Source organism: Homo sapiens, chromosome 2 (genome assembly GCF_000001405.40).
Source record: "Homo sapiens chromosome 2, GRCh38.p14 Primary Assembly".
Taxonomy (NCBI): Eukaryota; Metazoa; Chordata; class Mammalia; order Primates; family Hominidae; genus Homo; species Homo sapiens.
In genome coordinates this window covers 10,682,698-10,698,256 of record NC_000002.12, presented here as the reverse complement: position 1 = coordinate 10,698,256, position 15,559 = coordinate 10,682,698, and the positions used below count along the sequence as shown (strand labels likewise).

The 15,559-nt window shown below is 46.9% G+C and overlaps 1 protein-coding gene and 1 pseudogene across 12 annotated transcripts in view, besides 2 other annotated features; one reads left to right on the top strand and one right to left on the bottom strand.

Annotated features, from left to right (window-relative positions):
- Positions 1–6,160: 6,160 nt before the first annotated feature.
- On the bottom strand, positions 6,161–8,247 carry RN7SL832P (RNA, 7SL, cytoplasmic 832, pseudogene; annotated as a pseudogene). The gene has a single exon (NR_144555.1). The product of NR_144555.1 is annotated as an RNA, 7SL, cytoplasmic 832, pseudogene (transcript).
- Positions 8,248–8,281: 34 nt separating this feature from the next.
- NOL10 (nucleolar protein 10) overlaps positions 8,282–15,559 on the top strand; it is a 119,222-nt gene continuing 111,944 nt past the window's right edge. For 10 of the 11 annotated variants that reach the window (XR_007082254.1, XR_007082293.1, XR_001738958.2 and 7 more), the window contains exons 1-2: positions 8,282–8,461; positions 13,645–13,690. Coding sequence is in view for 7 of the 11 variants with exons in the window: in NM_001261392.2 (NP_001248321.1) it covers positions 8,396–8,461; positions 13,645–13,690 (112 nt within the window). In the remaining 4 variants the exon portion in view is untranslated. The remainder of the gene's footprint in view (positions 8,462–13,644; positions 13,691–15,559) is intronic. The other variant, NR_048552.2, reaches the window with a different exon arrangement.
- Positions 8,436–8,715: an enhancer, noted in NCBI's record as "active region_15310". NCBI's record gives its function as "activates an Ori minimal core promoter by ATAC-STARR-seq in GM12878 lymphoblastoid cells {active_cell/tissue: GM12878}" and the evidence as "EXISTENCE:reporter gene assay evidence [ECO:0000049][PMID:35858748]".
- Positions 8,776–8,835: an enhancer, noted in NCBI's record as "active region_15309". NCBI's record gives its function as "activates an Ori minimal core promoter by ATAC-STARR-seq in GM12878 lymphoblastoid cells {active_cell/tissue: GM12878}" and the evidence as "EXISTENCE:reporter gene assay evidence [ECO:0000049][PMID:35858748]".

Here is a 15,559-nt window from a genome sequence, read left to right as displayed (position 1 = left end):
GTCTCACTCTGTCACCCAGGCTGGAGTGCAGTGGTGCAATCTCAACTCACTGCAACCTCTGCCTCCTGGGTTCAAGTGATTCTCCCATCTCAGCCTCCCGAGTAGCTGGGACTACAGGCACCTACCACCATGCCCAGCTAATTTTTCTATTTTTAGTAGAGACGGGTTTCACCATGTTAGCCAGGCTGGTCTCGAACTCCTTGCCTCAAGTGATCTGCTTGCCTCGGCCTCCCAAAGTGCTGGGATTATAGGCGTGCGCCACTGTGCCCGGCCCAGAGCCTCTCCTAATCACTGGGTCAAGACAATACAACTAGTGGGACAGGCGCGGTGGCTCACGCCTGTAATCCCAGCACTTGAGGAGGCTGAGGCGGGCAGATCACGAGGTCAGGAGATCGAGACCATCCTGGCTAACACGGTGAAATCCCGTCTCTACTAAAAGTACAAAAAATTAGCCGGAGGCCGGGTGTGGTGGCTCACGCCTGTAATTCCAGCACTTTGGGAGGCCAAGGAGGGCAGATCACAAGGTCAGGAGTTCTAGACCAGCCTGGCCAATATGGTGAAAGTCCCGTCTCTACTAAAAGTACAAAAAATTAGCCGGAGGCCGGGCGTGGTGGCTCACGCCTGTAATTCCAGCACTTTGGGAGGCCAAGGAGGGCAGATCACAAGGTCAGGAGTTCTAGACCAGCCTGGCCAATATGGTGAAACTCCCGTCTCTACTAAAAATACAAAAATTAGCCGGACGTGGTGGTGCATGCCTATAGTCCCAGCTACTCAGGAGGCTGAGGCAGAAGAATCACTTGAACCCGGGAGATGGAGGTTGCAGTGAGCCGAGATTGCACCACTGCACTCCAGCCTGGGCAACAAGAGCAAGACTCCGTCTTAAAAAAAAAAGAAAGAAAGAAAGAAAGAAAGAAAAAATAGTAGTGGCACATGGAACCAGTGAACTGTAAACTTAAATGCAAACTTGGCACTGAAATCAAGCAGCAGTGCTTCTTAGAAGATGGCCAACCAGAGAATTGGGTGTGCTTATTATCACTGAAGTATTAATAGAAGAAAAACACCTAAAGATTATCTCTCTTTCATTATTTTCTTTTTCGAGAAGTCTCACTGTGTCACCCAGGCTGGAGTGCAGTGGCACGAACTCGAGATCTTGGGTCATTGCAACCTCCACCTCCCAGCCTCAAGCGATCTCCCGCCTCAGCCTCCCGAGTAGCTGGGATTACAGGCACGTGCCACCACATCCAGCTAATTTTTGTATTTTTAGCAGAGATGGGTTTTCGCCATGTTGCCAGGCTGGTTTCCAACTCCTGACCTCAAGTGATCCTCCCACCTCGGCCTTTCAAAGTGTTGGGATTACAGGCATGAGCCACCACACCCAGCCAGTTATTGTATTTATTTTTTTTTTTATTTTTTGAGATGGACTCTCGTTCTGTTGCCCAAGCTAGGGTGCAGTGGTGGGGTCTCAGCTCACTGAAACCTCTGCCTCTCAGGTTCAAGTGATTCTCCTGTCTCAGCCTCCTGAGTAGCTGGGATTACAGGCCCACGCCGCCACACCCAACTAATTTTTTGTATTTTAGTAGAGACGGGGTTTCACTGTGTTGCCCAGGTTGGTCTCGAACTCCTGAGCTCAGGCAATCCACCCGCCTCGGCCTCCCAAAGTGCTAGGATTACTAGTGTGAGCCACCGCGCCTGGCGCCAGTTATTTTAAGAATACAAGTATAGTCTGGGCATGGTGGCTCACGCCTGTAATCCCAGCACTTTGGGAGGCTGAGGCGGGCAGATCACCTGAGGTTGGGAGTTCGAGACCAGCCTGACCAACATGGAGAAACCCCCCCCCCCCCCCGCCGTCTCTACTAAAAATACAAAATTAGCTGGGCATGGCGGCGCATGCCTGTAATCCCAGTTACTTGGGAGGCTGAGGCAGGAGAATCGCTTGAACCCGGGAGGTGGAGGTTATGGTGAGCCCAGATTGAGCCACTGCACTCCAGCCTGGGCAACAAGAGTGAAACTCCATCTCAAAAAAAAAAAAAAAAATAGAATACAAGTGTAGGCCGGGTGCGGTGGCTCATGCCTGTGATCCCAGTACTTTGGGAGGCTGAAGCAGGCAGATCACCTGAGATCGGGAGTTTGAGACCAGCCTGACCAACATGGTGAAACCCCGTCTCTACTAAAAACACAAAAATTAGCCAGGTAGTGGTGCACGCCTATTATGCCAGCTACTCAGGAGGCTGAGCAGGAGAATCGCTTGAACCTGGGAGGCAGAGGTTGCAGCGAGCTGAGATGGCACCATTGCACTCCAGCTCTGGGCAACAGAGCAAGACTTCATTTCAAAAAAAAAAAAAAAAAAAAAACAGCCAGGTGTGGTGGCTCATGCCTGTAATCCCAGCACTTTGGGAGTCCACGGTGGGTGGATCACAAGGTCAGGAGTTCAAGACCAGCCTGGCCAAGATGGTGAAACCCCATCTCTACTAAAACTACAAAAATAAGCTGGGCATGGTAGTGGCTGCCTGTAATCCCGGCTACTCAGGAGGCTGAGACAGAGAATTGCTTGAACCAGGGAGGTGGAGGTTGCAGTGAGCCGAGATCTCACCACTGCACTCCAGCCTGGGCGACAGAGGGAGACTCCATCTCAAAAAAAAAAAAAAAAAAAAAAAATTGTAAGCCCTAGTTTAAGAAACAAAACAGTGAGATGATACACAATGAGAACTTTGATCTCTAGGGCCTCTTGCAGGGGAAGAAAGATTCAGGAGAGTTACCCAGGTGTCTCAGTCCATTCTCTGTTGTTTACTACAGAATACCTGAAACTGGGTAATTTATAAAGGAAAAGAGTTTATTTGTTACAGCTGTAGAGGCTGTGAAGCCCAGGGTCGAGGCGCCATATCTGAAGAGGGCCTTCTTGCTGATGGGGACTCTGCAGTCCCGATGCGGTGCAGGGCATCACATGGTGAAGGAGCTGAGTGTCCCGGCTCAGGTCTCTCTTCCTTTTCTTATAAAGCCACCAGTTCCCCTCCCATGATAACCTATGAATCCATTAACCCATTTATCCATGAATGCAGAGTCCTCATGATCCAATCACTTCTTCTAGGCCCCAGCTCTCAATACAGCCTCATTGGAGATTAAATTTCACTGTGAGATTTGGAGGGACATTCAAACCACAGCACTGTGCAGAGGAGGGTGTTAAAAGTAGCCAGAGGAGCAGGAGCAAAGGCAAGAAGAGGGTGAGAGAGGCCTTGTATTTTTCAGGCTGTCAGTAATCCAGGATTTTTGGAGAGGGTAGTGAATGCAGGAGAGAGGCAGCAGCTTCGGCACTGGCTGGAAAAGGAAGGAGGGGCCAGGTGCCTATAAGGCCAGAACCTGCAAAGGTGTTCGAATGTAGTATTTTCTTTTTCCTAGAGAGGGTCTCACTCTGGTACCCAGGCTGGAGTGCAGTGGTACGATTATGGCTCACTGCAGCCTTGACCTCCCTAGGCTCAGGTGATCCTCCTGCCTCAGCCTCCCAAGTATCTGGGACTACAGGCATGTGCCACCACACCTGGCTAATTTTTTGTATTTTTTGTAGAGACAAGGTTTCACCATGTTGCCCAGGCAGGTCACAAACTCCTAAGGTCAAGTGATCACCCACCTCAGCCTCCCAAAGTGCTGGGATTACAGGCATGAGCCACTGTACTCGACCTTCAGGTGTGTTCTTTTTGGCTTTAGGAGGATTGAAGAGTTTTTGTAGGAGTGCACCATAATCAGATTTGCCTGTTAGAGAGAATGAGTTTGTCTCTTATGGGAGGCAGACTTGAGGCTGGGAGAACAGGAAAAGGGACTACAGTGGGCCAGGTAGGAGACAATGAGGTCTGAACTCCTGCGGCAGCAGGAACAGAGAAGGAATCTGATATTGGAAAGAAGGAACCAAATGCTTCGGAGACCTACTGGCCATGGAGGTAAAGAATTAGGAGAGGAGCCAGGCGCGGTGGCTCACACCTGTAATCCCAGCACTTCGGAAGGCTGAGGTGGGAGGATCACCTGAGGTCAGGAGTTCGAGACCCGCCTGGCCAACATGGTGAAACCCCGTCTCTACTAAAAATACAAAAATTAGCCTAAAAAATTAGCCAGGCATGGTGGCATGCGCCTGTGATCCCAGCTACTCAGGAGGCTGAGGCAGGAAAATCGCTTGAACCCGGGAGGCAGAGGTTGCAGTGAGCTGAGATCCCGCCACTGCACTCCAGCCTGGGCAACAGAGTGAGACACTGTCTCAGAAAAAAAAAAAAATTTAGGAGAGCAAGCTTGAATGTTATTTGAAGGTTTCTGGAATGGCAACTAACAGCAGAACATTTAAGGTTAGTTGGAATCTGTAACAACTAGTTTTTCTGGAATAGTTTTTAATGTTTTGGTTTTCTAATAACTAGCACTTATGTAGTGTTCTGTGTAAGGCACTGTTCTAAGTGCTTTATATGCACTTTATTTTATTGACTCTAAAAGACCATTACCTATAAGATGCACCATTCCCTCAAGATATGCACGATACACTAGACTCATCCTTTCAGAGATGCTAAAAAAAAATGAATGTCCTGAAATCAGTGATTTATGGCGTAAACTCACTTTTCTGTTTTTTTGTTTTTTGAGACAGAGTCTCGCTCTTTTGCCAGGCTGGAGTACAGTGGCGCAAACTTGGCTCACTGCAACCTCCACCTCCTGGCTCACTGCAACCTCCACCTCCTGGGTTCAAGCGATTCTCCTGCCTCAGCCACCTCAGTAACTGGGACTACAGGTGTGTGCCACCATGCCCAGCTAATTTTTGTATTTTTAGTAGAGATGGGGTTTCACCATGTTGGCCAGGATGGTCTCGATCTCTTGACCTCATGATCTGTCCTCCTCGGCTTCCCAATGTGCTGGAATTATAGGCATGAGCCACCATGCCCAGCCTTTTTTTTTTTTTTGAGACGGAGTTTCACTCTTGTTGCCCAGGCTGGAGTGCAATGGCACAATCTTGGCTCACTGCAACCTCCGCCTCCCGGGTTTAAGCGATTCCTGTGCCTCAGCCTCCAGATTAGCTGGAACTACAGGTGCCAACCACCACACCTGGCTAATTTTTGTATTTTTAGTACAAACAGGGTTTTGCTGTGTTGGCCAGGCTGGTCTAGAACTCCTGGCCTCAAGTGATCTGCCCGCCTCAGCCTCCCAAAGTGCTGGGATTAGAGGTATGAGCTACTGCGCCTGGTCATGATTAGTTTTTTTTTGTTTGTTTGTTTTTGTTTTTGAGACGGAGTCTCGGTCTATTGCCCAGGCTGGAGTGCAGTGGCGCCATCTCTGCTCACCACAACCTCTGCCTCCCGGGTTCAAGCAATTCTCCTGCCTCAGCCTCCTGAGTAGCTGGGACTACAGGTGCGTGCCACCATGCCCGGCTAATTTTTGCATTTTTAGTAGAGACAGGGGTTTCACTATGTTCACCAGGCTGGTCTTGAACTCCCGACCTCGTGATCTGCCTGCCTTGGCCTCCCAAAGTGCTGGGATTACAGGCGTGAGCCACCGTGCTCAGCCCATGATTAGGTCTTAAGGGCAGAGCTCTCATGAATGGGATTGGTGCCCTTACAAAATACAGGTTGAGTATCCCTAATCTGAAAATCCAAAATCTAAAATGCTCCAAAATCTGAAACTTTCTGAATGTCAATGTGATGCTCAAAAGGAAATGCTCACTGGAGCATTTCGGACTTGAAATGTTTGGATTAGGGATGCTTAACTGGTAGACCCATCTCTATAAAAACAAAACAGCCAGCTCTGGTGGTGTGCCTGTACTCCCAGCTACTCAGGAGGATAAGGTGGAAGGACAGCTTGAGCTCGAGTTTGAGGCTGCAGTGGGTCATGATCATGCCACTGTATTCCAACCTGGACAACAAAGTGAGATGCCCCCATGGAAAAAACCCACAACGCCAACAGAAAGTAGATTAGTGGTTGTCTAGGGCTTGGGTGGGGGATGGGGCATGGAGTGAATGCTAATTGAGGCTGGGGTTTCTTTTTGTTCTAAAAATGATTGTGGTGATGGTTGCAGAACTCTGAATACACTAGAAGTCATTACATTGTACATTCAATGGGGACATTTTACAGTATGTTAATTATATCTCAATAAAACTGTTAAAAAGGAAATGTTAATGGAATTTGGATACATTTCCACTTATTTGGTATATGGCTTTATTTTCAGTTTTATTTTACAAACACTTACATGGTCTTACTATGTGCCAAGTACTGGGTTCCAAACGTTTTATAAATATGAATGTATTTCATCCTCATAACTCTGTGAAGTGGATACTACTGTTATCTCCATTTTACACAGGTACAGAGAGGTTAGGTAACTTACCTAAGGTCTTTCAGTTAAAAATGGCAGTCGGGATTTGAATCTTGCCAGTCTGGCTTCAGAGTCTGTGATCTTTATTTATTTTTCAAGAGATAGGGTCTTGCTGTGTTGCCCAAGCTGGAGTACAGTGTTAGTCACAGGCATGATCCCATTACTGGTGAGCATGGGAGTTTTGACTTGCTCCATTTCTGACCTGAGCCGCTTCACACCTCCTTAGGTAACATGGTGGTCCCTGGCTCTTGTGGGGTCACCATATTGATGCCAAACTGAGGACACCCAACGCTCGTTGCGTGCTACAGCCAAGAACTCCTGGGCTCAAGTGATTCTCCTGCTTCGGCTTCACTAGTAGCTAGGACAATAGGCCTGCACCACCAAGCCAAGCCAGAGTCTGTGATCTAACCATTCTATTATGCCACCTTTCCCAAAGATGTTTACAGTTTTTCTTAACTGTAACCAGTGTAGAAAATTAAAAATTTGTGGAGGATCTTAAATTTGAGGACAGAGTTAAGGAATATATCCCTACGTACATGGCTAAATGTAAATATGTAGCAATGCCTAATAGAGGCCAGGCACTGTTCTGGTACTCTGGGTAGGGGTGGATGGGGTGGATAGGGAATATAAGGACAAATGATATAGGGTCCACGAAGAACTCTCAACCTAATTCTGATGCAATGTGGTGTTGGTATTTGAGAGTTTCCAAAATGTTGTGGGTAGGAGAGCAAAACAATAATATTTGGGTTTTAGAAAGTAAGGCATAAAATAATTTGTTCATTAAATCAAAGGAAGTAAGAAGATCACTTGGGAAAGTTATAATCCAAAAATAGTTAAGTATTTGAGTTTCAGCAGGAGGAATGAAAACAGATTACTTTAAGGAAATATTTCATAATTAGAAATATCCAGGTTTAGATACTGAAAGTGAGGGCCAGAGATAGGAATGGGTTGAAGATGACGCCACAGTCTTCTTTTTTTTTTTTTTTTTTTTTTGAGACGGAGTCTCACTCTGTTGCCCAGGCTGGACTGCAGTGGCACGATCTCAGCTGACGGCAACCTCTGCCTCCCGGGTTCAGGCGATTCCCCCACCTCAGCCTTCAGAGTAGCTGAGATTACAGGCGCGCGCCACCAGGCCCGACTGATTTTTGTATTTTTAGTAGAGACGGGGTTTCACCATCTTGGCTAGGCTGGTCTTGAACTCCTGACCTCAGGTGATCCGCCCGCCTCGGCCTCCCAAAGTGTTAGGATTACAGGCGTGAGCCACCGCACCCGGCCTACAGTACTTCTAACGTAACATCGCAGAAACACTGGAGGAGAGAAGAGAATACACTTCCACTCGGAATTCGCACCCTGGTCGCCTTCATTCGCTGGGTTCACTCGCTGAACTGCCTCGCCCCCGCCCGGGAGGATGACATCTCGGCCTGGGCAGAGACTCGAAAGCCTCCTCCTGCCGCTCGGGATGCTAACAGCAGGGAGAGCTGTGTCTAGTTTTTTTTTTTTTTTTTTTTTTTTTGAGAGGGAATCTCGCTCTGTCCCCCAGGCTGGAGTGCAGCGGCGCGATCTCAGCTCACTGCAACCTCCGCCTCCCAGGTTCAAGCAATTCTCCTGCCTCAACCTCCCGTGTAGCTGGGACTACAGATGCCGGCCACCACGCAAGGCTAATTTTTTTGTATTTTTAGTAGAGACGGGGTTTCACCATATTGGTCAGGCTGGTCTCGAACTCCCGACCTCAGGTGATCCGCCCGCCTCAGCCTCCCAAAGTGCTGGGATTACAGGCGTGAGCCACCGCGCCCGGCTTGTGTCTAGTCTTGCCCGTAGCAGCGTCGCCGACAGCCACGCCGGGTTGTCAGAGCCTCACTAGTTTTTCTCCCGGCCGCCGCTCTTCCCGGATTCAGCCACCTTCCCTCTTCCGGGAACTTGCCCGCGTGTTCCGGCTCCAGGAAGTGCGTCATCAGTCGGCGCCAGCGGCCGCACGCCGCGGAGCAGGGGCTCGGAGGTCCCGGGATTACGGTGCTCGAGCACGCTGGTGGGAAAGGACCCGGGACTTGAACAGTGTTGTGCGGCGCCATGCAGGTCTCCAGCCTCAATGAGGTGAAGATTTACAGCCTCAGCTGCGGCAAGTCCCTTCCTGAGGTGAGTCACTTCCCGGCCCCCTCACTCTCGAGCTCTTGGGGGTCGTCCTCCTCGTGGGGCAGCCGCCCCTCTCCTCGGCCCTAGCCTCTGTTTTAGCTGGACGCTGGTCACCCCCCGACTCGGGGAGGCCCAGAGGCGGCTGACAATTTCCGGGGGAGGTGTCGGCATTGGGAGACAAGGACACTGCCGTCACCGCGCCAGAAACTGGACCAAGGGATAATCAGGGTCAGTGAGCTTTGCTGGAACTTTTGTAAAGTTCTCTGTTCCAGAGAACGCAACCATTTGGGCCTCTTTGGGTGTTCACAGTCCCTGCCGTACATCGAGGAGGAAAACGTGGCAGATTCGTTGACACATCTCTCCCCCATATGGCCATCAGCTGTTTGTGGAGTCCCTATCATTTGCCAGGTCTTAGGGATACAACAGTGAACAAGGGAGATACAGACTTCGCATCTGCAGAATTTATGGTGTAGAGGACAGTATTTTCGAGACTTGTTGAACTTAACCTGATTCCTAGTCTTAAAGTTGGAGAGGGCTTGGACAAGTCGGTAATTCTCTTCCAATCTTCTCGTGTTTAGTAATGCAGCTGAGATTTAATAATGCGTTTAATATGCAGCTGAGATCCAGCAAGGGGAAGGGTGACTTGTCCAGCATGACACACTTAGGCTCTGAAACTTGTCTTTTGTTTCTTATACGTGATGATCCAGCCTCTGTCCAAGCACTACCACTGAGCACTACCTTTTGTGGAAGCTCATTTCCATTTTGAGACTCTGCACTTGTTAGAAAGTGGTTTTCAAATATGTCACCTTATAGCATGCCACTGTTGGCCTGAGTCCTGCCCTTGGAAAACAGAATAAATATAGCTCTCCTTCCATGCGTCTGCTTCTACAAAAATTTGGAGCCAGTGCTTAGGTTTTTCCTTTCTTCCTAAAATTCTGGTTTGAATAATTCCCTGTCTTCCAGTTGTTCTTCACACCCCATGAGCTTTCTCATTTTGTTCATTCATTCTCCACATGTATTGAGAAGTTACTGTGTGCAAGCAACTCTGTTTTAAGTATTGGGATCTATAGTGGACATTTCAGATAAGGTTCCCTGTTGGGGAAAAGGGAAATAAACAAGTGAGCAAATAAGGCAATTTAAGGTAGTCAAAAAGTACTTTTCGTGGTGAATGATTAGAAGAGAGCTGTTTTGGATAAAATATTGAGAGAAAGTGTTTTGGATAAAACCTTCGGGGAAGGCCTCTCTACAAGAGGTGACATATGAGCAGAAACTTGGATGATGAAGAGGAGCCAGTCGTGTGAAGATGTGGGGAAGAGTTTTCAGTGCTGAGAACAGAAAGTGCAAAAGCCCCACATGGGAATGCACTGGACATGTAGGAGGACGGAAGAGGCACAGGTGTGATTGCACTATGCTGAGTGAGGGGGCGAGAGCAGGGTGGATGAGGCTGGAGAGGTAGGCCTGGTAGGAAAGGTAGGAAGTTCAAGTTTTATTCTTAGTGCTGCTGGAAGTCACTGTTGTGTGGGCTGCTGTGCGACAAATGTCTAGCTGGGGAGGGTTCAAGTCGGGATGAATTAGGTAGTCCAGGTGAGCGACTTCGGTGGCTTGGGCTTGCCTGGTAACAAAGAAGATGCTAAAACACAGTGAGATTCAGGACATACTTTGTAGATAGGGTAATGGAACTTGCTAATGGATTGGACTGTTGGTAGAGGGAAGTTGAGGTGACAAAAAGGAAGGAATCAGAGAACTCTTCAGTTTTGAGTCTGAACAAGTGGGTGCACGGTGGTGCTGCTAACTGACATGGAGAAGAATCAAGAAGGAACACATTGAAAGGTGGAGAGGAGGAACGTAGTGAGCAAAAAGAATCAAGATTTTTTTTTGAGGTCGCGTGCAATGGCCTGATGTTGGCTCACTGCAACCTCTCGGGTTCAAGCGATTCTCCTGCCTCAGCCTCCCCAGTAGCTGGGACTACAGGCACGTGCCACCACACCAGCTAATTTTTGTATTTTTAGTAGAGACGGAGTTTCACTATGTTGGCCGGTATGGTCTCGATCTGATCTTGTGATCCACCCACCTCGGCCTCCCAAAGTGCTGGGATTACAGGCATGAGCCACTGCACCCGGCCCAAGGTTTTTATTTTCAATAGTGAACATTTGAAGTTCTAATACATACCAAATGGAGATGTTGAGTAGTTAGCAGTTGCATGGATACTAGGATGGAGATTGCAGGTGAATTTACTGTCGTTATTTGGGACTAGGTGAGATCAAATTGTGAGAGAAAGAACAGAGAAGATAACTAGGCTGAGGACCTGAGGCAGTCTTAGCATTTGTCATCCAAGAAGAGGAGGGGAACCCAGCAAAGAAGAAAGAGTAGTGGGCACTGATGGAAGGGGAGACTGGGAAATGTGTAGTTTTGTAGAAGTAAGTGTTTCAAGGAGGAGGTGGTGGTCACCTGTGTCAGCTGCTACTGAGAGCTTCAGTAAGATGAAGGCAGAAAAATGACCATCGACTTTGGCATGATGCAGAGCGCCCTTGACCTTGGCAAGGAGCTCCAGTGGAGTGGTGGGGAGGGTAGCTTGAGCTGAGTGGATTTGGAAACCCCTGCTTGTCCTGTTTAATATTTTCTGGTTATTTCTTTGAGGTGTGGTGCCTAAACTACACGTGGAACCCCAGTTGTTGTCTGATCTGTGCAAATATTGCTTCTCTCCTTCTGGGCTTTACCTTTTTATTAATGTAGAGAAGCCTCTACGTTTACTCCCCTGGTGATCCTAGGCAGTCTCCTGGCTTTAAGCACATCTGCATATCGATAACTATCACATTGATGTTTCTAGCCCTTACCTCTACTCTGAACTGGACTTGTGTATCCAACTGTTTCTTGACATCCCCGCTTGGATGTCTGATAGGCATCTCAAACTTAACTTGTCCAAAGTAGAACACCAGCTTTCCCCCCACATTTCCCCCTCCTGCAACCTAGTGGTCTTCCCTCCCTCAGCCAGTGGCAACTCCATCCCGCAAGCTGTTGATGCCAAAAACACTGGAGGCTTTTTGTTGTTGTTTCTTTGCTCTCATACAATCCACTAGAAAATGCTGTTGCTTCTATCTTCAGTATAGATCCAGAATCCAGTCACCTCCATTACTGTCACTGATTCAAGACACTGTCACCCCTGACTATGCAATTGCAGTTATTGCAGTTGACTTCTAAGCAGTTTCTCAGTTTCCACCCTCTACCCCTTTATTCCACAGTCTGTTATCAGTAAGCTGCCAGGGTGATCCTCTACTCAGAACTGTCCAGTGGCTCCTGCTCTCTTGGGGGTGAAAAGCAGAGTCCTTTGAGTGACTTTTAAGGTCCTACTTGATGTTGTGCCTTCCTGCCCTCCTCTCTGAGCTCAGCGGTCACTGTTCTCCACCTTACACTGGCCTCACAAGTCTCACTGCTCGAGACCAGGCACACTCCTGCCGTAGGACCTTGGCACAGGTCCTGCCTGCCTGCTTTTTTCCCAGATGTTCTCCAGGCTTTGCCTCCTCATGCCTTTCAGGTCGTTGCTCAAGAGGACCTTAACCTTATTCAAAATTATAATTCTCCACCAACACTTCGTCTCCTTTTCTTGCTTTATTTTTTCCATGGCATACATAACCATCTGACATTCTAATTGTTTTACTTCCTTATTTGTTGGTGTTCCCTCACTTGAAAGAAAGCTTCATGAAAGGAGGGGTTTTTAGATTTTTAAATTTTTTTTTTTTTTGAAACAGGTTTACTCTGTTGCCCAGGCTGGAGTGCAGTGGCACAATCATGGCTCACCTCAGCCTTGACTTCTCTGGGCTCAATGATTCTTGCACCTCAGCCTACTGAGTAGCTGGGACTACAGGTGTGTACCAACATGCCCAGCTGCTTTTTTTTTTTTGTAGAGACAGTGATCCCACTTTATTGCCAGGCTGGTCTCGAACTCCTGGGCTCAAGTGATCCCCTTGCCTCAGTGCTGGGATTATAGATATGAACCACTGCACTTGGCCAAGAGGGCTTTTTTTTCCCTCCTGTTTTATTTACTACTGCTATACCTAATTACTGGCATTTAGTAGTACTAAATAAATATTTGTTTAATGTATTGATGAATAAAGTTAATTTTCATTTTCAGCTCCATCACACTTTTGACTTGGGGCTACGATTTTTATTCACACAATTTGACCTACAGTCTCCCATTCTGGAGTTAATCAGCTTTTGTTGTATTTTTAATGCCGTTAAATTTATTTTCGTTAGTTTTCTAGTGGTTAAGCCTGTTTTTTTCTTTTTTTTTGGCGGGGGGGGGGGGGGGGGGGACGGAGTCTCTCTCAGTCACCAGGCCGGAGTGTAGTGGGAAGATCTCAGCTCCCTGCAACCTCCGCCTCCCGGGTTCAAGTGATTCCCCTTCCTCAGCCTCCCGAGTAGCTGGGATTACAGGTGCCCACCACCACACCTAGCTAATTTTTTGTATTTTGGTAGAGACGGGGTTTCACCATGTTGGCCAGGCTGGTCTCAATCGGCCTCCCAAAATGCTGGGATTATAGGCGTGAGCCACCATGCCTGGCCAAGTATCAGCTATTTGGTCAGTTATTTATCTGGTTTTATTCCTTGTAAAAAATATATTTCTATAAGAAACATTCTCCTATAAATGTTTTACTTTTTAAATTCTCACTTAAATAGATTAAATTGTTCCATATATTTAGTTATAACCCATAATATTTGAGGCTTTCTGCTTTCCTTTAGATTGCTTAGATGGGTTAGTTTTTCTCTATGTAAAAGATTGTAGTTCAAAAAATTTCTTATCTGGCCGGGCCTGGTGGCCCATGTCAGTAGACCTAGCATTTTGGAAGGCAAAGGTGAGAGGATTGTTTGAGCCCAGGAGTTTGAGCCTTCGGTGAGCTACAGTCACATCGCATCATTGTACTATAGACTGGGCAAGCATGAGACCCTGTCTCTAAAAAAGTAAAAATAAAAGAAATTATCTAATGTATGTAAGTATACACAAGAAAAAAAATCCAGGAGATATTTAATACGTTACGAGTAGAGTTAGGATTAGAGAATATTTTTTGCTTCCTATGTTATATATTCCTATGAAGTTTGAATTTTTAAATATAAGCATGTATTGATTTTGCAAGCCGAAAAACAATTTAGCTAAATTTGTTTTAAAATAAACTCTCTTCATTTTCTTTAAGTGGCTTTCTGATAGGAAGAAGAGAGCGCTACAGAAGAAAGATGTAGGTGAGTATTGTTTTTTCCCACTTCAGCTGCGTTAGTGATCCATGTTCTAATGCTTTTACTCATTTGCTGTTATATATAAGTGAGGATTTATAAGAATGCGGTAACATGTAGTGGAAAATGAATGCTCTTGTCCCTTTTCTTTTTTTTCCTTTGACATGGGGTCTCACTGTGTTGCCCAGACTGGTCTCTAACTCCTGGGCTTGAGCAGACCTCCCACCTTGGCCTCCCAAAGTTTTGGGATTACAGGCATGAGCCACTGTACGCAGCTCTTCTCCTTTTTTTTTTTTTTTGAGATGGAGTTTCACTCTTATTGCCCAGGCTGGAGTGCAATGGTGTGACCTCGGCTCACTGCAACCTCCACCTCCTGGATTCAAGCAGTTCTCCTGCCTCAGCCTCCTGAGTAGCTGGGATTACAAGCCACCACGCCCGGCTAATTTTTTTTGTATTTTTAGTAGAGATGGGGTTTCTCCATGTTGGTCAGGCTGGTCTCGAACTTGCGACCTCAGGTGATCCACCTGCCTTGGCCTCCCAAAGTGCTGGGATTACAGGTGTGAGCCACCGCGTCCGGCCGCCTTTCTCCTTCTTAAGAAACTTTTTGTTGTGGTTGGTATGTTCCTGGTGGGTATGGGATTTGATTTTACCTTATTAACTAATAAGTTAGCCTGTTACCGTTTCATGGATAACAATAGTAGACGCAAGACTCCTGGGCTAGAAATGCAGATGTTATTACTCACAGCACAGTAGATAGCATGAACATCAGCATATTTGTGCCAGTTCCCCTCTTGGGTCTCCTGGGGACACTTAGCACAGTCCAGGTGGATGCTTGGCACACAGTGGATTTGCGTTGTGGCCGAGCAACACAGCTTGGGAAGTCCACTGCTTTTCTGGCAAGCAGTAAGCAAACCTGTGTTTTGTCCAGAAGGGACAGGTTACCTGTCTATCAAGGTTCTCAGCAGTGTAAACAACCCTGAGAAATGGCTCAGGTAAGAGTGGCTGGGGTCTTGCAATCTCGCCATACCCAGTAAGCATGCAGGTCCAAGGAGGACTGTCTCTCCTAACAGGTCCCTAATTGCTTTGCTCTCTTGTGTATCAAAATCTTATCGTGTAAATTAAATCCATTTATCAGTGTTTGAGATACAGAGACAATGAGCATTTCTTGAAGAAAGGAATTTTACATGTAGGGTTTATGAATCTGAACAGTTAAAGGTGATTGCAGAAGATGTTGGTTCTTTTAAATTTACGGCAGCAAGAAATTGTAAGAAAAATTTCTAACTTAAATAATTTTGGTGCACAAGTTTTCATTATATTTTCTTCATTATAGCTTGTCACATATGAAAGAAAATTTATTTTCCCATATATTTTGTTTAACTTACTCTTTAAAAACCTAAGGTATCAAAGGGGTTTCCTCTTGTCTGCAGATAATTGGTTCCAAAAGAGGTATAAGTCAGCTTCGTAGCAGTTTCTTATATAAACTTAAGAGGTTGGGTCAGGCACAGTGGCTTATGCCTGTAATCCCAGCACTTTGGAAGGCCCAGGCGGGCAGATCATGAGGTCAGGAGTTCAAGACCAGCCTGGCCAACGTAGTGAAACCCCGTCTCTACTAAAAATACAAAAATTAGCCAGGCATGGTGGTGCGTGCCTGTAGCCCCAGCTACTTGGGAAGCTGAGGCAGGAGAATTGCTTGAACCTGGGAGGTGGAGGTTGCTGTGAGCCAGGATTGTGCCACTGCACTCCAGCTTGGACAACAGGTGAGACTTGTCTCAAAAAAAAAGAGTTTGGAGAGTTTGGGGGCTTAAACCTGTTACTTAGGAGAAAAAAAAGTTGGATTTTTGTCTTTGCCATGATTGAGTAGTAATAGTGGTTTAGGGG